Source organism: Homo sapiens, chromosome 20 (assembly GCF_000001405.40).
Source record: "Homo sapiens chromosome 20, GRCh38.p14 Primary Assembly".
Classification (NCBI taxonomy): domain Eukaryota; kingdom Metazoa; phylum Chordata; class Mammalia; order Primates; family Hominidae; genus Homo; species Homo sapiens.
This window is the reverse complement of record NC_000020.11, coordinates 23019416-23043574: the sequence shown is the minus strand read 5'-3', so window position 1 is coordinate 23043574 and position 24159 is coordinate 23019416. Positions and strand designations below refer to the sequence as shown.

Here is a 24159-nt window from a genome sequence, read left to right as displayed (position 1 = left end):
TCAAAGGCTGTAAGACGGGTTCAAGCAGTGCCGCCTCACAAGGTTTCCAGGAAGATTAGATAAGCTCAGTTTCTGGCCCATGGTAGATACCCAATAACTGTTTACTTGTGTGCCAGTGAACTGGTAGATGCATAAATGAGTACAGAAAAAAGCTGTGTTGGAATCATGAGTGTCTTACGGGCAAACTCAAGGTTGCACAAAGTGGATACTGTTCCATCAAGGGAAGATGCAGTTGCTTGGAGCAATGTTGTCAATGCTAGAGGAACTGTAATGTTGGATTTGCAGGCATCTATATCATAGCTTAAACAGGAAGATTTTTGTGCCAGGTGAGAAGTGAGCTCCAACACTCGGTCACTCTAAAATCCAGCTTCGAAGGCTTCAGCTTATTTTCCCTTCTCACAAGGCTTAGTCAAGTACAGGGGACAGAGACTCCCTCCGCTGTTCTCCCAAGGAGGCTCGGAGGAGGAAGAACATGCTCCAGAGTGCCCTTCTCCATTTCTCAGGGCCCAGAGGAGAAAGAGAAACATAGCTCTGGCCCCAACAGAGCCAGCAGGAGGTACGGAGGGAAGTTCCTGTAGGTGACATTCCTTTGAGAGACATTATGGTTGTGGATGGGGCCAGGGGACAGAAGATCCCCCACCTCCTACCTTCTGGAGTCACTTGCTATTCTCTGTTGAATGCGATTCCTTATTATATCATCTATTCAAGGAAAACTGAGGTTGCAAATAATACATGAAAACACATTTTCTTCATGGTTATAGCTGAGTGGGGGTACCCAAAATACATCTCCTGAGCTTTAGAAGCATTTCTTCATAAAACAATGCAGACAATGCCCAGTTCTTTCTTTCTTTCTTTTCCAGAATGAATGCCCTGGGTTCAGTGATATCTCTTTTTGTTTTGAGTGTTCCCTTCCTCATTTTTTTTTTTTTTGGTTAGCAGGTTCAGATGTAGGCAAACAACTGATTTCTTCTCACAAGGGAAGCTAAATATTGTTTTAACATCAGATGCTAATAGAATCGAAATCCTTTTCAGGGTGTTTTGAAAGTGTGATTGTGAAAGACAAAAGAACCCTGGGGATGGGTTAACTCAAGGTTACGCCCACTGGAGAGGGGGAGCAGAGAGCAGAGGGTTTCAGGGATCCAATGAGAAACACCAAGAGTCAAAGCTGGGGTCTGTGACAATTATGCCACCTGGGCCACAGGCCAGATATTTCCTTGGATCTCTGCCTGAAGGAAATCTTCTCTTAAAATAGCCATTTTAATACCGATATTATCCTAAGACAAAACCCACTTATCTTCTGCATATTCAACGCCTGGCAATATAACCTCTGTGCTTTTGGTTAGAGGTTAGCACCTCTGTGCCCATCTCAAATCTTCTTTCTGACTTCTTGCTAATGCCGTACCTAAATGCTAAGTTACCCCGCTGTTGTCCAGCAAAGCTTTGTTCTACTTGGCAAAGAGGAGAGGGGCTTTTCCACATTCTCCCTAATTCCTCCCCTTTTCCCACTGCCTACTGCCTTGTTTCGATTTAAATCCTTTGGGAACATGGATCCCACCTTCCACAGACTCTTTGGAGATCCTACGCCTTGTTCATTGTCCCCCTCTTTTAATAAATCTGTTCTGAAATGCTCATATAATCCCAAATCCCCATTTTCAGCGAGCCTTTGCCAGGGTTTGACTCCAGTCTTTCTTCATGTATTTTCCCCCTCCTCCAAAAAGGTAGCATGCAGAAACCCAAGGGTAGTGCCAGGAGAATGGAAAGTCTGAAAAGGGCATGGGGCAAGTCCCAGTTTCACTGTTTAATTTGTCTATGACTCTCCACAGCACAGGATACGGCCATGATAAACATGAGCAAACTCAACAGCAAGCTGCCTGGAGGCCCGTGACAAACGGAAATGGTGCTTTTGGGATGCGGCTGGATCTTGAGGAGCACTCTGCTCTGTTTGGCGGAAGGGAGCTTGGAGTGGAATCCACACCCTCTCTCCAGTGCTTGGAGTAAAGGATCACGAAGTCATTATGGAATTAGCAGCTTGCCCAGGGACATACTCAACCCTCTAGTTTCTCCAGGTGGTGTCTAGATTCCAGGATACTTCTTTTCAGATCCATAAGGTCAAGAGGGCTATAGCTTCCTATGTAAATTGGTTGAGGTCTCCTAGTCTGGGGGGATGAACTCGGGAAATGGTATAACCAGGTGGCCTCCATGGATTTGGGGATAGCACCATCTCCAATTCTGTACCTCCTCAGGTCCTCCCCATGCTGTCTGTGTCCTTCCTCCTTGGCCACAAATCACAGCCACTAAGAGGGAAGTAGATGGTGACCAAAACAGTCCCGATCTTGATTGGGGCAACAGTTAGTTGCCCCAATGTAAAATGTAAAATTGTAAAATGTAAAATGTAAAAATTTGCATGTCAAAATTCATAGAACTGTACAACTAGAAAGAGAACACTCTACCATATGTAAATTATACTCCAATTAAAAATAGATTAAAAAGAAATTACAGCCTCTTCAGAACACTAATGAAAGCCTGATTAAAAAAAAAAATGGAAAAAAAAGACACCCAACTGTGTACCAACTCCCTCTTCCTCCTTCTATATCATGAAGTAGTCACCATTTGAATGGTAAACCTTCCTCCCCTGGGCCAGGAACATGGCCTTTGTGTGTCACTGTGCACCTGCAGGTGGATACTGTTGCTCTGCCCTCTCCACACAGTCATGCAGCCTTCCCTGGGCCGCTGTGGGCTGGAAGTGGGAGAGCCGGAACTCAGTCCTGGTTTGTGTGCCTCTCAATTTGTTCTTTCTCCCCATCTACGACACGTTCACACTGGGTGAGTGCTGACCTTTGGCAGCCCCACTCTTTAGGCAGAGCCCCAGAAATCCAGTCATTTCAAGTGCTATGTTACGGCAGGTGGATGCTCATGGTGTCTTTTGACAATAGGAAGCCACATGTTTTTCTTTGTAGAAAGTCAATACTCCCATTCTAGGCATTTTTTTACATAAGTTCTCCCCCATTTCAGAAGGTGCCCCCACTGTTAGGCACTAAAGTCCCTTCCTTCACAGGATTGAGGTCCCTGCCTTTCAGTTCATATAAAGTTGATGAAAGTTGGAAAGAAGGACATGATCATCCTGCCAACCCCTCCCTGAAAAGCAGAGGCATGTTAAGCCTCAATTTCACAAGGACCCCAAAGCTTTTGATAGGCTTCTCTTACTAGGCAGACCCAAGCCCCTCATTAGAGCCTGCCACCACTGACCCCTGGCTCTTAGGACACAGCCCTCATCCTTGAGGTGGCATAGAAGGCATTAGGCTCCTGCTCATGTGCCTGCCAGTGCCTCACACGCCCCTGTGGTCTGTGTTTTGGTCACATTGAGCCCTTCAGTGCCTCCCACTGCAAGCTCTTTGCACATGCTGTTCCCTCTGCTTAGAGCTTACAGGAACACCTTGTGCCCCGCCCCTTCCTTTCCTAGTTAATGCCTAGGTACGCTTCAGAGGAGGTCATCTCCAGCCACTTTCCTGGGGAAAGCCTGCTCTGAGTCATGGGCAACTTCTTTTATCATCATCTCTTAGAAAGTACATTCCTTTCCTGCACAGTGCTTATTTAGGTTTAGAACTGTACTCTCATTTCTGTGCTTATTTGATTAATGCCTGTCTTTTGCCACTAACCTCCAAGCTCCATGAAGGCAGAAGCTGCCTTTGTAGACTCATCGTTTTGTCTGGAAACCTGTTGCACCACCCGAGAGAAGCACTCAGCGAACTGTCCACATGTATACCCCCATGCATGCTAGTCAGCAAGACAGTTTCCAGGGTGTGCTGCTGGCTGATGGTGTACACCATGGTGGAGCTGTCTCAGAAAACACAGCCCTAGGATTCTAACATTTGTCCTTAAGGAATCTGAGGCTATGCTGTCATCTACTTATGGAATGAGAATGTGGGAGATGGGGGTAATTCACTACCTCCAACCTCTCAGAGAAGAGTGTCAATGCCCACATTTGCTAGGATTCATGTCTGGTTTCTGAGGCAGTGCCGCCAAAACGTGCTATATTTAGTTGATCCTTTGCATCCACCTCTAGCATCTAAGGAATGCCAGCTATGATGACTTTAATGAAAGTGAAGCCAATACTTCACAGATGAGTGTGAAACTCATATGCATCTTTGCTCACAGATCAGAGCTGACAAACTGGGCAAGTATCCTGCTGAGTGACAGCCTGTCATGTCTAAATACCATCTTCCCTGACCATCTGGGAAAATGGAACACCTGGCTTGCCATGGAACAGTACATTAAAGACAATTGTAAAAGAAAAAGCAAGATCTCTGACAGATGGAGGGATGAGCAAAGGCTGTTTCTACCTGTGGCAGAAAATGTTTTTATTCACCATGATGTCAACAGCTGTGACTCCTGGTCTTAGCAGGCAGAACAAGATGACCATCGAAGCAAGCCTCCCAGGCAGGTGACATATGTTGGTGGCTTTCAGGATCCTGGCTGTATGTCTCATGACTTCAATTCATTGCAGTCTTCTGTACACAAACTACAAGGGAGGGTTTCATGCAACCAGTTGTTACAAAAGCCTGGGGTTGATGGAACTAAAGCTGGTAGCACTGTTGATGGGCTCCAAACACAGCCCCGACAAGTGCTCAGTGCACCTCGTTGCTGCCGGGAAATGAAAAGGCCCTGAAGCTAAAGAAGAGAGCAGCGGGTAGGCTCACCCTACACCCCCACCCCGCCACCACCTGCATGACTTATGACTGCAGGGTCAAGGGCAGTGTTCACGCTCATTTTCCAGTGGTGATGGAAGGAGGACTAAGCAGAGAAGCGTGCTATCTCCTGCCCTCCCACCATTTGATTCGCGTGTCTCCACGGTGTCTCTGCCAATGCAGAGTTTACAGCTGGGAAGAGCTCAAAACTCGAACCTCCCTTGGCACATATTCCAAGTGGGAAACTGAGGCTTAGAGAGGTTAAATCACTGCTCACGGGGTAGCTGAGGCTGAGGTGTCCTGCCTCTCAGAGACTTTTCTTTCCATCACCTGAAGCTGCCTCTCCTTCAACCTTCATCAACTAAGTTAAAAAGGCTGACATTTCTAAATAGAATGTGTCTTATTCCATGCTAATCTGGGCAGCCACACACTAGTGTTGCCAAGACTCCTGGTAGGTGCCCTGTCTTGCTTATCAGAGAGTTTGCCCAGTCTGATCACTGAGAGACTAAAGAAAGGACCCCCAACCCCACGTACAAGCTGGGAAGAAGCCCTGGGGACCACTGCCAGTGCTGTGAACCCCTCACCTCACTACTATCAACCTGGGTGGTCCTTGGAGTTCCGTTCAACCATATTCATCAGTGCCCATCCTGGCAGGCATTGTCAGACACTGAGGAACAAAGAAATAATGCAGTTTTAAAAAACTCCAAGTAGTTATGGTTACACGAGACCCACAGACATGGAGACTGACTTCAGATGCCCAAGGTATCCCTGGTGGGTGCCAACAAATTAGAGATGGTTGATGTCTCTGTGTGTGTGCATGTGTGTTTGCAGGATCAGAGGGTTCTCTGACTTAGTTTTGAAACTTCCATTCCACAGTCATGTCTCCAGTATGTAGTACAGACATGGCTACCCATTCTCTCAGAGTGGTCTGTGAGGCTGACCACTCTGAAGGGCATAGGGTGTTGACCTTTGGCTGTCTCTCCCCCTCCCCACACCATCTTCCCCATACCACCAGAATGATCATCCAGAATCAGGCCGGTTAAACCCAGAGGTAGTCTCTGAATGCTAAGCCAGGTGGGGTCCCCCAAACTTCATACATGTTCCTATGTTGTTACACCAGATGCTAACATAAGTGTTCCAAGTTCTCCTTTGTCCCCTCCCCTGCTTTTATCAGAAAGCAGAATTAGAGCTCCTCTTAAGCTCTTTCCCTTTGGGAAAGATAATTTATCCTTTGGTTAACACATCAGGCAACAAAGATACGGCCTTTTATTGTGTTCAACTTACATGTTAATATCTAATGTGGCTGATGTTTTACTGAAAGATGACATTCTAAAATAGGGGGTGGTGATGAAGCTGCTTCCTCTATCCAAAACCTGGGCTGGTTCCCATCCCTCGCTGCTCTCTGGTCAGCTTTTCCCGCCCATGGCTCCTCTCTCACTCACCACCACAGTATAAATTGCTGCCTTAATGAGTTCTCATGTTCCCACATCAAAGGATCAGGGAAAAAAAATTACATCATAGGAGCTAGATGAAGTTTTTATCATCTGCTTTGTTATTACTGACCTGGTTTTATGCCTTGCAATAAACCCCATGTCATGTCTCTCCAAACCTTTTCTACTCACAGGAAGACTGCTCCCAGCTCAGGGCAACTCAGGGAGACACCTGTGACAGCAAGCAGATGTTATTCCCAGGCCGGGGGTGAGTGGGGAGGGAAGTAAGTGCCCCAGGCTGTTAACATAAGTCTCACTTAACAAGAGCTCAGGAAGAGACATAAAGGGCAGGTGCCTGGGGGCATCTTCCTTCCTCCTCTCTCCTGTACAAGCTGTGCTCCCACCACAAGGCAGAGCGTCTGCAGAGAGGAAGGGTGCTACCTCCCTCCACCTTCTTGAGTCCTCTCCCAAGCAGTGGCTGTAAGGAGTCACACACAGGGACCATTCATTTCTCACCACCTCCTGCTTCCCAGCCCTTGAAGAACAGCCAGAGGTTCAGGAATGATTAATATCCTAGCCCAGTTTCCAGAGGAGTCCTACCCATATGGAAGCATCCTTTTGAAAGCCAGAGTGCAGGGGAGAGGAGAGCAGCAGAAGAGTTCTGACACTCTCCGGCAGGTACATGGGCTGCTGGAAGGAACAGGTGGTGGAGCTTAGGTGAGCATTCAGGAGATGCAGTCTTCGGGGCTGTAGGAATGGTGCCCACCCCTTGGGAGGTGGCCACGCAGGGTGGGTAGGGGAAGGGCTCCTCAGAAGGTGGTGGTCCTGGTGAGGGGGATGCGCTTGCGGCCGGGTTCTGGTTGCAGGGCTTCCTGCTGGCAGGGGAGTGGGGGGCACATGCACCCTGCCCCACCTTTGCTCTTGAGAGCAGTGGCATAGTAGTCCAGGGGCTCCTCCTCAGCACCTCCAGCACCTTCCAGGAGGCAGCAGCGCAGGCAGAGAACCCGCTGGAAGAATCGGCGGAAGTTGTCGGAGAGGAAGCCATAGAGAATGGGGTTGGCGCAGCTGTTGGCATAGCTAAGGATAAGGGACACGTGGTTGACGGTGGCATCAAGGCTGGTCACGAAGAGGTTCAGCAGCTGCACCACGTAGAAAGGCATCCAGCAGAGCACAAAGACGACCACGACCATCAGCACCAGCCTGGTGATTTTCTTCTCCGAGCGCCTGCGCTGCTGCCAGCCAGCGCGCAGGGCCACGGCGCGCATCTTGCCCACGATGAGCAGGTAGCACAGGCCAATGGCCAGCACGGGCAGCAGGAAGCCCAGCAGGAAAGTGTAGACCACGAAGACTGCCGACCAGGCCGGGTGTGGCCACTGCAGGTTGCAGGCCACGGCCTGGCCGCCGCGAGCCGGTCTGGTGTCTGCGAAGATGGCGATGGGGAGAGTGACCAACAGGGATGCCAGCCACACGCCCAGGTTGATGAGCTTGGCCACGCTGGGCCGCCGGTAGGTCGCCGCGCGCAGAGGGTGCACCACGGCCACGTAGCGGTCCACGCTGAGCACGGTGAGACAGAAGACGCTGGTGAACATGTTGAGGCCGTCGACGCTGAGCACCGCGCGGCACAGCACGGAGCCGAAGGGCCAGTGGCGCAGGGCGGCCGACGAGGCCACGAAGGGCACGCTCAGCATGAAGAGCTCGTCGGCTACGGCCAGGTTGAGCAGGTAGATGTTGGTAGCCGTCTTCATCTTGGCGTAGCGAAGGATCACGAAGATGACCAGGGCGTTGCCCACCAGCCCCACCAGGCACACCAGCGCGTAGATGCACTGGATAGCGACCATGCCCGCCGCCCGCGCGTCCCCGGGCCCCGCCACCGCCTCCTCCGCCTCCGCCGGAGCGCTACTGGCATTGGCTGCAGAGGGCCAGGCCGTCCCCAGCCCTTCCTCGCCCCCGGGGGGCAGCGTCGAGGGGGCGCTCATGACCAGGGGTGCCGGCGCAGGGCAGCTGAGCGCGGCGGAGCTAGCGCTGCGCCAGAGAGCTCGGGCGGCGGGCCCAGGGCGGGGGCTGGCGCGCAGACGCGCGGCTCTTCCCGGCTACGCTGAAGAGCTGCGGGCACCGGGGAGCGCCCGCCAATCCCCGCGCCGCGCGCCCCACCGCGCGGGCGCCCGACTGGCTCGCACCGCTGTGGCCCGCGCCCCTCGGCACCCCAGCTCCTGGGGGTCAGCGCCTCACCCAGCCCTGGAGTCGTCTCCGGCCCCGCCCCGTTTTCCCACCTCGGTCGCCCCCTCCCCGCTGCCGACTCTGCCCCAGGTTCCCAGGTCTCCAGTCCGGCTCCAGTGTCAACAGCACCCCCAGCCCCGTCCGGCCCTCCCGGGGTCCCCCGCCTGGCTTCTTTCCTTCAGACCTCTATTCAGATCCCGTCTTCCCCAGCAGCCCTTTGAGGTCCAGTTCCCTGCTTTGCTACAGGGGGTCTGCGGCGGCGGGGCTGGGGGTCCCGGAGTCCTCCCTTTGGGTAAAGATGTGCCCGGAACTGGTCAGGGACCACCTGGAAGCTTGGACCACTTGCCTTGCACTTGACATCCCCTCACCCTGCCCTTTAATCCTCGCGACGACCCATCCTTGCACATGGCTGAGTCCCTTTTATAGAGGCGGAACCTGAGGCTTCCACTGGCGGCTTGGTGAATTTCAGGTCTGTCAGGATGTCCAGTTTTCCCCACAGCTCACCACTCCTTTCTCTGCTCCCCAACCCACTCTGGACAAGTGCAGATGCCGGACCTTTTAACTTCTGTGTCCGAGCAGCTGAGGTGCTATGGGCACAAGGAATGGAGACGGACAGGTGGAGGCAGAGATGCCACCAAAGAAGGCCAAGCCTGTGCTAGCTCCCTCGGGAACTGGCAGAAGCTACGGGAGCCGGACATCTCAGAACCTTCACCCTGTGACCTGGTTCAGTCATTATCCGCGGGTCTCCATCCCTGGCCACTAAAATGTGCCTGGGGAGGACTGTGGTCGAGAGGTCGGGAAAGAAAGGGGTTCCGGCCTGGAATTACCCTTCTTCTGCTAAACTCCAGAGATAGTGAGTTCACTGGCTCCTGGACTGGACACCCAGGAGCAGCCGCCGGCTCCAGCCCTAGTCCCTCTAGCTGGCACAGGGCACAGGAACGTTCCTGAACTGGGGATTGGCCTGGGAAAGTTATTCTTAAAGTAGCTCTGACTTTTAGGATCCTGGCTGTCTTTGGCCCCTTCTCTGTGGGATGGTGGCCCCCTTTAGCCCCCAGTACAGCCCAGAAAGGCCTTTAGTGGGTCTAAAATTGGCCACCTGGGGGGTGGGGTCTCAGCTTTCCGCTGGGTGGCTGGGACAGCGATGGGGAGGAGGGAGTCCTGTTGCAACTGGAGGAGGCCTTTCTAAGACTGGGGGGTGGGGGAAGCTGCCCACTGCTGTTTATCCAGGTGTGGGATGGGAGCACGGGCATGATCAGCACCAGTGCAGCCCCATAGTTGACCTCAACCACTGTCTCCAGTCTCTGCTACTCAAATAGATGTATTGGGAGGATTTGGTCTAGCACTCCTCCACTCTGTAGGTTGGTCTGTCCTTTCCTTTTTGTCCCTAAGAGAGAGACCTTTCACATCTTTGTCCTTAAGAGAGAGACCCTTCCCTGAGAAAGAGGAAGGAGATGGCACCTTTGTCATTCTACTTGGTGCCATCCTTTGGTGGAAGGGAACAAGAGCAACCTCAGATTTGGGAGGGAAGAGGAGTTTAGGGGCTTTTCCCTTTAACCCTGGTCTTGGGAAGACCCTTAGGTGGCTCCTCTGCAGATAGCCTTTCCAGGGCTTAGTGTGGAAGTGCTGGGGGCTATCTTGTCTTCCTGGTCTCCTCTCTTCTGCTGTCCTCTCTGCCCATTGAACACTCGGCCCCTTCCCTTTCCTGAGAAAGTATTTCTTCTTGTCCTGCCTCATGTGTGAGCCCCTGGAATCTTTCCTGTGCCTACTTTAGGTTTTTCTCCTAATGCTCCCCGATTCTGCCCTCCTCTCCCCATACACATGTGTATGCCTCCAAGCATAGTAAGCTAGCATGTAAGAAGAGAAGCATGCACGACTGTCCCCATTGGTTATTAGCCCTATGTGATAAACAGCTAGTGCTTCCAGGAACTTACTTCCCTGTGCTCTAGGCCCCCTCTGCAGCATGAGGGCCTCATCCTCAATACAGAGCTTTCCAATACAGGCTGTATGCTGGAATTACCTGAAGGCCTCACACAGGGATGCCTGGGCCCTGTCTTCAGAGACTCTGACTGAATTATCTGGAGTGGTGTCCAGGCATCCAAATATTTTGAAGGCTCCCGGGTACTTCTAAAGTGCACAGATGCAACATTAGATGGAGAGACAGAGAGGCAGCAGCCTGGGGACCAACTGCAATGTACAGATATTACTGTGCGTTCAGGAGGGCTAGCAGAAGAGGTCAGGAGAAATGTCAGGAAAGCCAAAAAGAGAGGCCCCTGCTTACAGGAGCAGGAAGCTGGAGACCGCTGAAGGGCAGCCTCGGGGCCCTGGGACAGGAAGAGGCTGGGGCAGCTGGGTGCCCATGGCTGTTCTCTCTCAGGATACTAAAGAAGCAATGGAACAGGAAACCAGCCGCTACCTTTCTCCCCCAGGAGAGGAGACCTAGAGAAACTTTCACGCTGAGTTAAAACACAGGAAAACAAAGTCTGTTTATGAGACGCTTTTCAGCACACCCGTCCCGTTCTTTTGCCCAGTACACACTGGGGCCTCTTCCTTGTCTGTTGATTAAACTCCAGCATCAGGTCCAAGTGGCTTCCCTGTACATTGTCAAGAGTGGCATGGAGCCAAAGGCTGAGTCTAAGGGATCTTCTCCTCCAAGTGCTGAAAGCATGGCCCACAGGCCTAACTGATCCCTGTGGAGCTTCCAGCCCAGTGATGAGATAGTGAATCAGGGGCCTCTCAGCCCCTCCTGAAGCCAGAAGCAGCAGCTCCTTTGTTAGAGATGTGAATAACTCACCTCCCATCTCCACACTTCAAAACTGCTGCTCAAGCTTGGAGGTACTTGCAACCTCAAGCAATCTTCAGAACCTCTGGCCTGCAAGTCAGAGAGACACAGCTTTCCCTGCAAATCACAGTGCACCAAGAGGAGTCTTGGATCTCAGCAGCAATGACAGCAGTCCCTGAATGCCACTTCTATCGCCTGCTGGTGTGGAAAATAATCTGAAGTGCTCTCAGCAGCTCAGAGTGGCTTTGACCAGTTCTGCCATTGAGCATATTAAAAGCATGATTTACCCGTGGCTAAGTGTAGGACATTGTCTGAAGTCGCCTGCGTGGATCAGGAAAGTGTCTTCAGATTCCCACCTGAACTTCAGGGACACCCTAGACATTGCAATGATAGAGACCTCAGCTGTACCCCAAAAACTCAACTGTTAAACCAAATATAAAGGTGAGGGCTTCCTTAAGATTTCATTAAATGGTTTCCTTTAAATAAATTGATCCCACAATCAGATGAGATAAAAGAAAAGTCAGCCAGAGAAAGGCACGGGACTAGGATAGGTCACATTGGTCCAATGTTTACAAAGTATCAAAATTAGGTCCACTCTGCTGTCACTGTCTGGAGGACAGGGGCTGCAGCACACTGGGGTAACCATGAGCAGCACCTCTGTTCTTTGGTAGTTGTTTTCAGACTGTCTTAGCAACCTGGCTTCATGGTTGTGCATATAAAGAGAATGAGATGTAAGATGGAAAGCAAGGATTTCAATTCTGAGCCATCTACTTACTGGGGTATGAGCGTGGGTGGGACCCTTGGAGGAATGCTTCTCAAAATGTGGACCCAGACTGGCAGCATCAGCCTCTCCTGTTACGAATCCGCATCCTGGTACCCACCCAGACCTGCTGGATGGCAAATGCAGAGGGTGGGGGCCAGCCATCTGTGAGTTAACCTGCCCTCGAGTGAGGGACTCGATGACTCTGGAGTCTGAGAGCCACTGGCTGGGCCCTTCTGGGCCTTGCTTCCTTATCTGGCCACTTCCCAGGATAGTGAATGAGGATCAGGAAAGAGAATTTTCCATGAATGCTTTCTGAAATCTCTAAACCATGGCCACATGGGCTATGGGGCACTCGAAATGTGGTGAGTTCAAAGTCAGGTGCTGTGTCAGACACACATGGGATCTCAAACACTTATGATGAACAAAGGAATGTAAAATATCTCATGAATACTTCTTATATTTCTTACATGTTGAGATGATAATATTTTGGAAATAGAGATAAAGCATATTATGAAATGAATTTTACTTGTTTCTCTTTTTTTTTCACCGTGGCTACTTAAATTTTAAATTTCATTCGCACCACACATTCCATTTCTACAGCATTATAGACCTACAGGATATGGCTATTCCTATAGCAATGCTGCCCAGGGTTATAAATGATGCCACTAACAAGGTGGCCCTGTGCTGTCAATACAGGAGCCACTAGACCCCTGTGGCTCTTTGAATTTAAGTAAGTTGAAAATAAAAATTTAAATGGGCTTTCTTAGCATATTAACTACATTTCAAGTGCTCAGTGGTCATGTGAGGCTGTGGCTGCCAAGCTGGGCAGTGCAGTCCTGAGATGCTTTCATCACAATGGAAAGTGGAACTTTTGAGGTTCAGAACCTGGAGTTCCACCGTGGCTCTTACAGTCTCAGCCATGGTTGCATACCTTCCAAGCTCCACCGCCTCTTCTTCCTCGTGGGCAGATCCCTGATTTTGTGTAGGACAGCACTTGAAATGTATTTGTGTGCTCAACATTGGTTTCCTCTCTGGAACCTGGGATCACTTCAGGGGTGGACACGTGGCCCAACCATGACTGATGAGACATGCGGGGAAATCTGCAGAGGCAACTTCTAGGAAAGGTTGGGCTCTTGCAGCCACCCTGTGACTATGAGGTGAGAAGCTTGTCCAGTGTGATAGCTGATCCACTGAAGATGACAAGGAAAACAGCAGAAAGGAACCAGGCTACTTGATCATAGTGAGAGCTGATAAGGCAGCCAATCTGAATTTCTTTCTACGTAAAACAATTAACATTAGTGTTTCATTGCATTTTCTATTGCTTGCAGCCAAAAATACTCTAACCACTGTCCTTGGGCAAATTACTGACCTCTTTAAGCCTTGATTTTCTCATCTCTGAGAGATGAACACAAGAGTTTGTATTTCATTGAATGAGATAAGGTAATGATAAGAATAAGAAATATTTATGCTGCACTTACTATGTGCTCAACTCTGTTCAAAACAGTTTACTCATTTAACATACGTATCATGCTTAGCCTAGGATCCTGAACCTTTTATGTTCTCAAACTTACCCTTATAATCATTGCTATTGCAGGAACTAGGCTATTAATTCAGACCTTCTGTTCCTAGACATTTTACCAACAGTGAAAGTAAACTTTCACTCCTCCCACCACCCCACAAGGAAAATTACAGGAGCATTTGAAAACATTTTTGAAACTCAAATGCTCTCACAATTGAATGACACAGGAATCAATACTTAGAAAACTCTGCCTTTTCAGTGTTCAGAGTATAATGCATATTTTTAAAAATAGACTCAATACAAGTTCTTGCAAATCTATTTGGAAGCGAAAAGAGCTCATTATAACAATGGTTCTGGATGGATTACAAACTTCTCAGTTTAGAAATGGGTTTTTGTTTTGTTAGTACACCATGCTCTCTACTATTATTTACTGCATAGTTTGAGTCACTCACTAGTCAATTTCTCAACGCTTTGTCAAGGACTATGAAGGGCTGAAGATTTACTCTACTTGAGAACGAACCAGGTAACCTCCCACAATTTCACAGATGCTAGCAGAAGACAGGGCACTCCTCGGTTAGACACCTAGGGCTTCATTACTTAGGGCCCAGCAGTCAGTGTGGGCACCAGTTCCCCTTACCCCTCTTCCCATTCCCACAGCTCATGGTATGTGGGTGGGTCCACGTGGACACTGCACAGAATTGAGGAACCTTGCATTTAAGAAGACTTAATCTTACAAGGGGCTGATAGCAAACTTTCCCAAACCTTGTCCCAGAGAAAGATATTGTCTTTATCATCCTGATCTGAATACTAATCTTCCCTCTGTAGAAGGAGACAGTATCTCTGTTTCCTAAGGCTCTTGCTGGACAAACATCTTTGAAAGGACAGTTCAGAGGAGATGCTGTCAGAGTCTTAGCTCACAAGATGTGCAGAAATGGAAAGGCCATGGAGAATTGTCTCCCAACACTGGGAAACCACTCAGTCTCACTCACCTCTACCATGCTTTTTCAGTGTACCCTATTTTTTTTCTCAGCAAAGCTGCTTGCTATATTTGCATTTGGCTCTGAGCTGACCCCAACCTCAAGTGTTACCTCTTGGTCATCCACCACTTTCTGAATAAATTATATTCAGTGGTCCAAGTTCAGATGACGAGGGAAGGGAATCTGATGGATCCAGCTTGGGTCCAGTATCCAGGCCTGGTTCAATTAGTGTCATCAGGGGTCAGTGCCATTTAACACACTTTGCCCACCCTCTGTGGATGGGCAGGAGTGGGTAGAGTCCTGTAGGGTAAGGACAGGGAGACAGCCTTGGTAAAAGTTCATTTAACAAGGATGGATTGCATAACTGGTTTCATCATTGTTAGTAGCAGTAGTCTCTCTATAAATCTTATAAATCACTTATATTGAAAAAAGTCATCAAGCATGACTCAAATAACTTCAGCAGAAAACAGTCACCCTAATAAAGTCATTTAATTATATATGTCTATATATTCTGAATATTCAGCGAAGTGGATTATGCCACCGGCTGAGTGTATCCAGAGTGATGCTTGACAGCTCCTTTTATTGCTAATGGCTCACAGAGTTTATGCCCTTTAGGAAGTGCCAGAATCATTAGTACTGTCACTGAAATGTGCTGTTAATGTAAATTCTACTCAGAAAAATGGAACAGCAATTGCAAAACCAGCAGCTGGAGAATGGGCAGCCCAGTGAGGAAAGATCAATGGGAGAAAGGCTTGTAACTTTCTCCCATTTTCTAGAAATTTGTGACTTTCTAGAAAACGAAGCCAGTCTCAACAGTGCCTCCAAGGACCTGAAGCTTCTCCAAGTGCTGTTTTGAATGGGAAGGCAGGAGTCGGAACTGGCCATCCAGGACTGTCTACATGGCCTCTCTCTCTTCTCATCTTCCTCTAAGAAATTTCTCCAGTTTTTCAATCTTGACCTCTCAGAAAAAAGAGATTCTGATCTTGTGAACTGATGCTGCATGTTGAATGAGTTTTCATCCTGCATGATACTTCATGGATTTATTTGCATTTTAATTATTCTTTTATACAAAAGAGCCATAGAAAAGAAAAGTCTGACCCAAGTTTTGTCAAGATAAAGCAGAGTATGGGAAGTGGGCAACTGTGAGAACTTGGTTAGAGCCAGTCTGTATAGTTTAGTATTTAATGGGGAAGTTTGGGGTGTGGGAAATGGGACCTATTTCCTTTGCTCTTGAGGTTAGGTTGAGCCATCTGGCTCCCTGCCCTGCAGTTCCCATAACTGAAGAGTTATACATCCCATAACCCCTGCCCACTAGTGAACCCCTTCCTCAGCTCTGGGACTGATTGTCTTCAAGCTGAGCACACACTGAGCACTGGGCCTGCCTTCTTCCTAACACAGGTTAGGACTGACTTCTTGCTTTGTCCTTTAACTTGAGTCCCCAGCCCACACCCCTGACATGTGGCTTTTCTCTCTCTCCTGCCGTGCTGCTCCTGGGCTGGCACCTAGGCTCCTGAGACAGGGGATTTCTGCCTTGTAATCCCACTGGCTTTCTAGGGCTGGAGTCCTTGGCTACCTGTTCATTTATTTATTAATTCATTCATCCATCTAGGTTTTTGTAAGCTCCAGACATTGGATAAAGCATTTTGAGGGATAGGTGAAAACGAAATCCTGCCCTTTACTCTTGAGAACTCACTCTGCTGTGGGAGGAGAGACAGGCAGGTAAGCAAAGAGCTCTCCCAATGCGATGACAGCCAGACCTGAGCCTGGGTCAGTGACTCAGGGAGCAGGGAAGACAAACCTCCTTCAGCTTGGGGCCTGGGACAGACTTCACGATGGGAGAGAATTCGGATAATTACTCAGCCTTCTCCTCTAGATCAGAGAAGGTGGGCAGGATGGAACCATGTGCATGGGTGGATGGGGGACAATCTAAGGACTCATTTTTTTTTCTGTGAGGCTGGAGCAGAGGGCCCCTTGCCTTTGCTTCTCTTGACCTCCCCTCTCCTGCCTGTTCTGGCCCTCAGTAGTCTCACTTGGCAATAAGAGTTGGATTCTGGGTGGGTGCCTGGACTGGAGAATCTTTGGCTGTTAACACTGTTCACACAGTTCAATATGGCTGGAAAAGTGTGGATGGAGCCATGTTCAGAGTAAAAGAAGGTGTGCTTAAGGTTTATACGTACGCACTCTCTGCAACCCCCCTGGAAGCTTGGCTACAGGATGGCAAGGGGTTGGCAATCATCTTCAAAGACCGAATCTGGAGTAGCTCTTGGAGATGTCTTTTCATAGCGTTAGATGCAATTACACCAGCAGGTTTCAACTCTTCTGTTTTAGTAACAAAATTCATGCTAAAAATAAATATTTGCTGAGTGACTGATTTGACACTCATCTTTCAGAGAAGCCCAAGAATGGCCCAAGTGTTGTTCTTTTAGGCCTCTGGTTGTCAAATTGGGATCTTTAGACCAGGAGCCTCAGCATTCTCTTGAGTCTGCCTAGAAATGCACATTCTGGGCTCTACCCTCCATGCTCTGAATTATATACTCTTGGGGCACAGGAATCTGCATCTAGCAAGCCTTCCAGAGGATTCTGCTAGTGCTTCGGTTTGAGAACCAGTGCTCCTGACTTTGGTTGGCCATTGGTGTCTGTCTGAAGAGGGTCTCCACTGCCCCAGGCATGTTCCTTCTCTCACTGCTGCCCCCTGGGATGGAAACTCGACATCCCCTCTTTCCCTTCCTACTGGCACCAACGGTACCAGAGCAAACCCCACAATCTCCATGCCTACATTTCTTTGACATCCACCTGTCACCATCTTTGGAGGATTCAAGTGAAGTTCTTTGTCTTTTATGGGACAGAGCTGTTTTCTAAAGTCATAGTAACATTCTCGGTCAATGTAAGATAAAATGACTGGGAATTTCACTTTTAAAAATAGGTATATCAAAGGGAAAAATAGTAACAGTTCTGGTGGAGAGACCTGGTGAGCAACACCTTAAACCAAGTGATGAAAGCTGAAATCAGCAACACTGGGATGAACCTGCATCACGTAATAGCGGATGTGATGCCCTGACAAGAGCACCAGTCCTGTTTGCAGCATCACTGCCCCAGATGCATGCCTGAATCTGTTCCTTAGGATACATCAGGAAACCCAAGCTGAGGAATGTTCTACTAAATAAATGATCTCTACTCTTCAAAAACATGCGGGTCAAGTGACAGGTGCCGAGGAGAGGGAGAGGGTCTAGGAAGACCCTAGTTGGGACAATTGGCAGCATTCAAATGTGGCCTGTGCATTTCATACTGGTACTGTTCAATGTGAAATTTCTTGATTTTTGTAAGATTCTCCCTGGGGCCTGATAGCTTAAAGGGATGAGTAACTCCTCCCTTCTCAGGCCCAGTCCCAAGGTGCAAGACCACTTGCATCAGCAGCCTGTGCCAGCAAGATAGCAGAAGCAGGAAGAGAGCCGGCCAGAAGACACGTACCCCTGAAGATTGAGAAACAGGCCATCCGGGTACAACGTAGCAATTACGTCAGACTAGGACACTTCCTGTTTAAAGGAGACTATAAAACCTTTGTCCTGTCCTCACTTGGGGCTGACGCCATTTTAGGCCTCAGCCCGCCTGCACCCAGGCGCTCATTAAAACAGCATGTTGCTCCACATCGCCTCGTGTTGTCTGTTGGCACGCTCTCGGGATTCGAACCGATACAAGAACCTTACAATTTTCTTTATGTAAGAGAATGTCCTTGTTCTTAAGAAAAGCCAGCTGAAATATTTAGAGAGTAAGTTTGCAGGATGTCTATAACTTACTGTCAAGTGTTTTAGACAGGAAGAGAATCACATAATGGAAAATGTAAACAAGTGAATGTGAGAAAGGAGTACATGAAAGTCTTTGAACTATTGTTACAACTTTTCTGTGGAAATTTACTTTTCAAAAGTGCGTATAGACATATAGGAAGAACAATTTTAGTAACTAACATAGTTATTTTTTAGTAGTGAGATGATGGGTAGTATTTCTTTTAAAAAGATCTGCTTTTCCCCAAATATTCTGTAACAAGCATGAACTATACTTGAAATCAGAAAAAAAATGAAATGATAAAGACAATTGTTTCTTTTCATACATACTGCAATGTAGCACATGAAACTGAGATCGGAGAGACCAAAATAGATGCCCTTTATCAACTAAGGTGGACTTTAAGGTTAAGAAAACAGAAAAGTTTTCTTCTCTGGTGGAGCAACTCCTTAAATTCCTAGGGCTACAAGAAAAGCACACCCTTGCTAAACTCCCTAACAATAAGAGCTATCAGGCAAATTCCTACCTCCGATTTACAACCCAGACCACCACAACTCTGATTGGACAGAGGACCTTAGAAACATTCTTTTCTGATAAGCAACTGAAGACGTCAAATCAGTTCCAGCAGCTTACAGAGACTGGGCACACATTGTGTTTGTCTCCTACAGTTCACTTTTTGATGGAAAAAGCCACATTCTACCTTATTTTTATGCTGAAACCCCACCCCAAAGGGAGCACGGAATGCATGGTAATACATCTGTGCCTATTGTGCGTGTGCTCACCTCCCCTCTCCACATGCATAGCTTTCCCCCAAACCTACTGAGTACATGTAACTCTATCGTGTGATACAGGCCCTGTGAGACATAAAATCCATTCTGCCCCTTCCCTCTTCAAAGAGAGAGCGCCAATGTCATATGCTGGAGACAGTCTCTTCCTGGTTTGCAAACTTATATTGCCAGTGTAACTGAAATAAATCCATGAACGAGGCACAGGGCTAGTCAATCCGCCAAGACACCAATTCACAAAGAGAAGGAGATTGAATCCTAGGACCCTGATCTAGAAGATGGGAAGGAACCTTAAATCCATCTCTCCAAGTGTACAATTCTCTCTGGGGCCTGAAAGCTTAAGGAGATGAATGACTCCTCCCTTCTCAGGCCCAGTCCCAGGGCGCAAGGCCACTTGTGTCAGCAGCGTGCATCAGCAAGTCAGCAGAAGCAGGAAGAGAGCCGGCCAGAAGACACCTACCCTGGCCGGAAGACAGGTACCCCTGAAGATCGAGAAAGAGGCCGTCTGTGTACAATGTAGCAGTTACATTATACTAGGACACTTCCTGTTTACAGGAGACTGTAAAACCTATGCCCCGTCCTCACTTGGGGCTGACTCCATTTTAGGCCTCAGCCTGCCTGCACGCAGGCACTCATTAGAACAGCATATTGCTCCACACTGCCTCCTGTTGTCTGTTGGCGTGCTCTGGGGGTTTGAACCGATACAAGAACCTTACACCGAGGAGTTTGGTATAAGGGATGTTAACGGTTTTGGAGTGGGCTGAAGTGTGGGGACGGTTGGTTGGTTGAAAAGTGCAGGGTGAAGTCATGGGATGGGGAAGTGGTGAAACTGTTTCTCATGCTGATTCTGTTCTTCTATGGGGGTCTTCATGCTGGTGGGTGTTTAGTAGGAATCTGGGATCTGGAAAACACCCTAGGCAGTTCTTAAACAAAAGCCTTATGATTCTAACATCAGAAATCCTATTCATAGGAACAATAGGGATGCCAGTGGTCAGTATCAGTGCTGCATGACTTTCAGTTACAAGGAAGTGGGTCAAAGTGCAGGCTGATTAATGCTTAATTATAACTCTATTTCTGTCCAGAATTCTTGCTAACCCTGTGAGGATGGCTTCACCAATAAAATACTCCTTTCTACTATTTAGCCATCCTAGTGGTCTTTTGAATGAAAAAGAAAGGCTGAGAAAGATGGAGTAGGGGCCTGCGGTCCCCCACCCCTCACCCCTCACCCCTCATTCACTTGCTGGTGCTCCCTTCAGCTCCCTTCAGCCCCCATCACTGGAGCTAGATGTCCATGAGCATTCTGCATTTTCTCTTCTTTCTGCTGACTAAAGAGTATCATGTTTTGCTGGTTTTTCTTCCATATTTGCTATTCTAAGGTGTTAGAAATGCTTAGAGCCAGAAAGACACACAAGAAACAACTGTGAAAGTTGATCATACAAATCGGGTCATTCTTATCATATCCAAATAAAACCGCCAAGAAGCCAAGAGGGAAAGGTGCTCAGGATGCATAACATTGCTCCAAGAATATAATTTTCTGCAAGCCTGGCTGCTGTAACCTGAAACCAGTTTTATCTAATAGCTGCTAAAATGACCTGCTGCAACTCTAAGACCAATTATACCCATTCCATTACTTACCAATCAAAAGTTGCCACCTCACCGGAACTGTACTAGTGCCAATGAACTTTCTCAAAGAGCAATACATAACACTTCTCTTTGTTATAAAACCTCCAACCATCTCTTTGTTCTTTAGACACACCGAAAACCACCCAATATGTGGTCTTGCAATTCTTTCTTCCCAAATAAAATGTTAAATTTAGAGGTTCATCTTTACCTTTTAATTCTTTGACACAACCGAATAGGACAAAGCAATGCATTTAACTTGTTCAACTGTTGATGAAATCATTGCAAAGGCAGCTCTAATTTTTTTTCAGACCTCAGTCTACTGACAGCATGAACAGAAAGAGAGGGTCTCTTTCTGCTGGTGCTTCGGTTTGAGAACCAGTGCTCCTGACTTTGGTTGGCCATTGGTGTCTGTCTGAAGAGGGTCTCCACTGCCCCCAGGCATGTTCCTTCTCTCACTGCTGCCCCCTGGGATGGAAACTCGACATCCCCTCTTTCCCTTCCTACTGGCACCAACGGTACCAGAGCAAACCCCACAATCTCCATGCCTACATTTCTTTGACATCCACCTGTCACCATCTTTGGAGGATTCAAGTGAAGTTCTTTGTCTTTTATGGGACAGAGATGATTCTCCACTCCAGAGGGTCTGGAGTGATTATAGGAATGTAATCGCCTTGAACAATCAGCGTGTTTTACAGCCTACTGCCCTGCATTTTGTGTGGAATGCAGTTGTCTTATTGCTTGGAACCAGCTCTCAGTAGACCTCAGCAGCTTATAGACAAACCCGAGTGAACTTTCCTCATGACCATGCTAGTGTCTCCATCCTGGGATGAGCCACAGCTTCATCACCATAACATGCAACCTATGTGCTGGTGTGATGACTCGCTGTGTCTGCACCACTGAGGCTCCTCCTCCACATGCCATGACGCGTCCTCTCTTCTCTCCATCTCCCCATGAAGTCCTCCTGTCACTTTCCCTCAGGGAGACATGGCTTTGGAGAGTACTCCCAACAGCATGCTTATTTGTGCCAAGTAATAAAACTCCTGTTGATCAAACCTACAGTCTCAAGGAGATTGATTTCTTACTTGCCAAGCAAAAGAACCTGGGTTTTTTTTTTGGGGGGGGGTGGTAAAAATAGTGTCTAATCCACATGTGCAATTAGCATTCCAGTAGACTTACACCATCAAAAAGATACTCTTTCTTCTGTCCTGCAGGGTGCCTTCTCCTCTGTCCTGCCATGGGTGAGGCTGCCTGGACTTAGGGGAGGCACTACCTTCCCTTTTCTTTGCTTTGCCTGCCTCACTGAGCAACTCTGAGGTATTACGGAGATGCCTATCTTTCCTGGTAATTTTAGCATTGTTACAATGTGCAGATCTGGACAATACTTTGGAGATGCCAAATACACAAGATAATGGCTGTTATTTTAAAGCTCTTCCTCCTCTGCAAATACAAGTTACTAAGATAATACAGAGGGCTTCACTATAACAGGTGTGGCTTTGGATGTATAAACAGTGCAATATACCAGAGTCTCTTGATTAGCTTGAAGTGCTGTGGGCTGAAATCAGGACCTTAGATCTCTGCCAGGGGTGGTAAATGTGCTCACTTTTCCTTCCAAACAATGGGTGGTGAGCCTGAAGGAAATGCCTCCAGAAAAGCTTACTGCTGTGCTACAACACCTTGTCTGTGTTTTAAAGGGCCACAATGGAGGCCCTCCCAGTCCACATTTGACTTCTCCCATGTATACTTTTCTTTTGAGATATGTTTATGACTTATTTGCGAGTTATTAGAAATAACACAACTGTTAGAAATAACACAGTTTCTTAAAAATATCTGTTTGTGTTAAGTTTCCAGAACTCTGTGACCGTGTTCAAGAGAAGACTGTCAGTAACGATAGCTACAAACCACACTCTATTTTCCGAGATCTTTTTGTTACGACAGACTTGCTGTCTAAAACCCTGCTTGGCCCATAGTGTTACTGGAAGGAGGTCCTGATCCAGATCCTAAGAGAGGGTTCTTGGATCTCACTCAAGAAAGAATTCAAGGCAAATCAATAGCGTAAAGTAAAAGCAAGTTTATTAGGAGAGTAAAGGAATAAAGAATGCCTACTCCATAAGCAGAACAGCCCTGAGGGCTTCTGGTTGGCTGTTTTTATGGTTATTTCTCAATTATATGCTAAACAAGGGGTGGATTATTCATGGGTTTCCTGGGAAAAGGTTGGGCAATCCCAGAACTGAGGATTCCTCCCCTTTTTAGACCATATGGGGTAACTTTCAGACATTGCATGGCATCTGTAAACTCTCATGGCGCTGGTGGGAGTGTCTTTTAGCATGCCAACGCATTATAATTAGCATGTAATGAGCAGTGAGGACAATCAAAGGTCATTTTCGTCACCATCTTGGTTTTGGTGGGATTTGGCTGGCTTCTTTACTGCATGCTGTTTTATCAGCAAAGCCTTTGTGACCTGTTTCACGTGTCAACCTCCTATCTCACCCCATGACCCCTTAACCTTCTGAGAATGCAGCCCAGTAGGTCTCAGCCTTATTTTACCCAGCCCCTATTCAAGATGGAGTCGCTCTGGTTCGAATACCTCTGACAACAGCCCATCTGTTCAATACGTAACTATTTAATTAAGTAAATTCCTGCATGTCTAATTAGCTCCTGTGAGTAGTTCATAGGCCTCGTTCCCTTTCGCAGAGCTGGGGTTCTAGGATTCCACGGAGTAGCAGAGACCTCTGCAGCCTTCTGGGGAAATGTGCTGTGTTTCCGCAGGTACTTCCCTCAGCCCCATACAGCATCAGGACATTCTCCAGGTGCTCCTGGGTAGGAGGGTGCCATGAGGGCTGTGGATTGAGTAGATGTGGGCTGTGGGACTGTGGGAACCTGTCTCTGAGCATCTGATTATCTGACTGCCACCGTGCAGGTGGGAAGGAGAAGCTTTAGAGTCTAGTGTTTTACCGCAGGTAAAGTCTAGTGTTTTTTACTGCAAGATATAGCAATCTTTTTTTTTAAAAAAATGTAATTCATTGAAATAAGCCTTCCTCAAAAATTCAACATGAAATGACAGGTGCTTTCTCATCTGTCACAGGCATCTCATGACTGGCCATGTTCAGGCCTTGGGCAACGTGTTTTTCTGCATATTTCGATAAGCCTTAATTTTGTGCTTTTTCTCTTGAATCTGACAACCAAGACACTAAGTTTTGTCAAAATAACCTGCGCTTATGAATTGCAGAATTCTAAAAAGATACAGGCGATTTGTCAAGAGCCCTTGAACAGCATAAAGCCCTTTTACCCGAGTCAGCATTGCCTCAGCCAAATCCCTGCATGGAACGACTGTCTGCAGCCAGCCCCTGGCACCGACTGTCACTGCCAACGAGTCTTTGCAGCGCAGGGCTATTTCCTCCACTCAGGCTGCCTCTGTTCACAGGAGAAAGCAGGTTCCAGGCTGCAGCTGCTGCATCCTGTCCCAGAAGGTCTTGCTGGGCATTTGCACTGACAGCCACTGAGTGGCACTCATGGCGTGGTGCCTGGCTCTTGAACTCCTTGCAGCTCTGGGGGTGCCTTTGGATGTTACTAGGGTAGATGGGGGAGCCAGCTTGCAGGTATCATG

At 48.0% G+C, this 24159-nt stretch overlaps 1 protein-coding gene and 1 long non-coding RNA gene across 16 annotated transcripts in view, besides 1 other annotated feature; one reads left to right on the top strand and one right to left on the bottom strand.

The window, feature by feature from the left end:
• Positions 1-4337: 4337 nt before the first annotated feature.
• On the bottom strand, positions 4338-8263 carry SSTR4 (somatostatin receptor 4). The gene has a single exon (NM_001052.4). The coding sequence runs from the start codon at positions 8089-8091 to the stop codon at positions 6925-6927; it is 1167 nt and encodes a 388-aa protein (NP_001043.2). The 5' UTR covers positions 8092-8263; the 3' UTR covers positions 4338-6924.
• Positions 7176-7722: an enhancer, noted in NCBI's record as "H3K27ac-H3K4me1 hESC enhancer chr20:23016490-23017036 (GRCh37/hg19 assembly coordinates)". NCBI's record gives its function as "activates a minimal SCP1, AML or CMV promoter by ChIP-STARR-seq in naive H9 embryonic stem cells {active_cell/tissue: H9 hESC(naive)}" and the evidence as "EXISTENCE:reporter gene assay evidence [ECO:0000049][PMID:30033119]".
• Positions 8264-12772: 4509 nt separating the features above from the next.
• LOC101929707 (uncharacterized) overlaps positions 12773-24159 on the top strand; it is a 35095-nt gene continuing 23708 nt past the window's right edge. For 8 of the 15 annotated variants that reach the window (XR_007067740.1, XR_007067738.1, XR_007067736.1 and 5 more), the window contains exons 1-3: positions 12773-13031; positions 13873-13916; positions 15980-16089. This is a non-coding gene — a long non-coding RNA (uncharacterized LOC101929707). Of the gene's footprint in view, positions 13032-13872; positions 13917-15979; positions 16090-17293; positions 20274-20863; positions 21608-23129; positions 23322-24159 lie in introns of those variants that run through there. The other 7 variants (XR_007067739.1, XR_937352.2, XR_007067743.1 and 4 more) reach the window with 6 other exon arrangements.

Coding starts and splice junctions, on each gene's coding strand:
- SSTR4 (NM_001052.4), bottom strand. CDS start 8,091: ATGAGCGCCCCCTCGACGCTGCCCCCCGGGGGCGAGGAAGGGCTGGGG.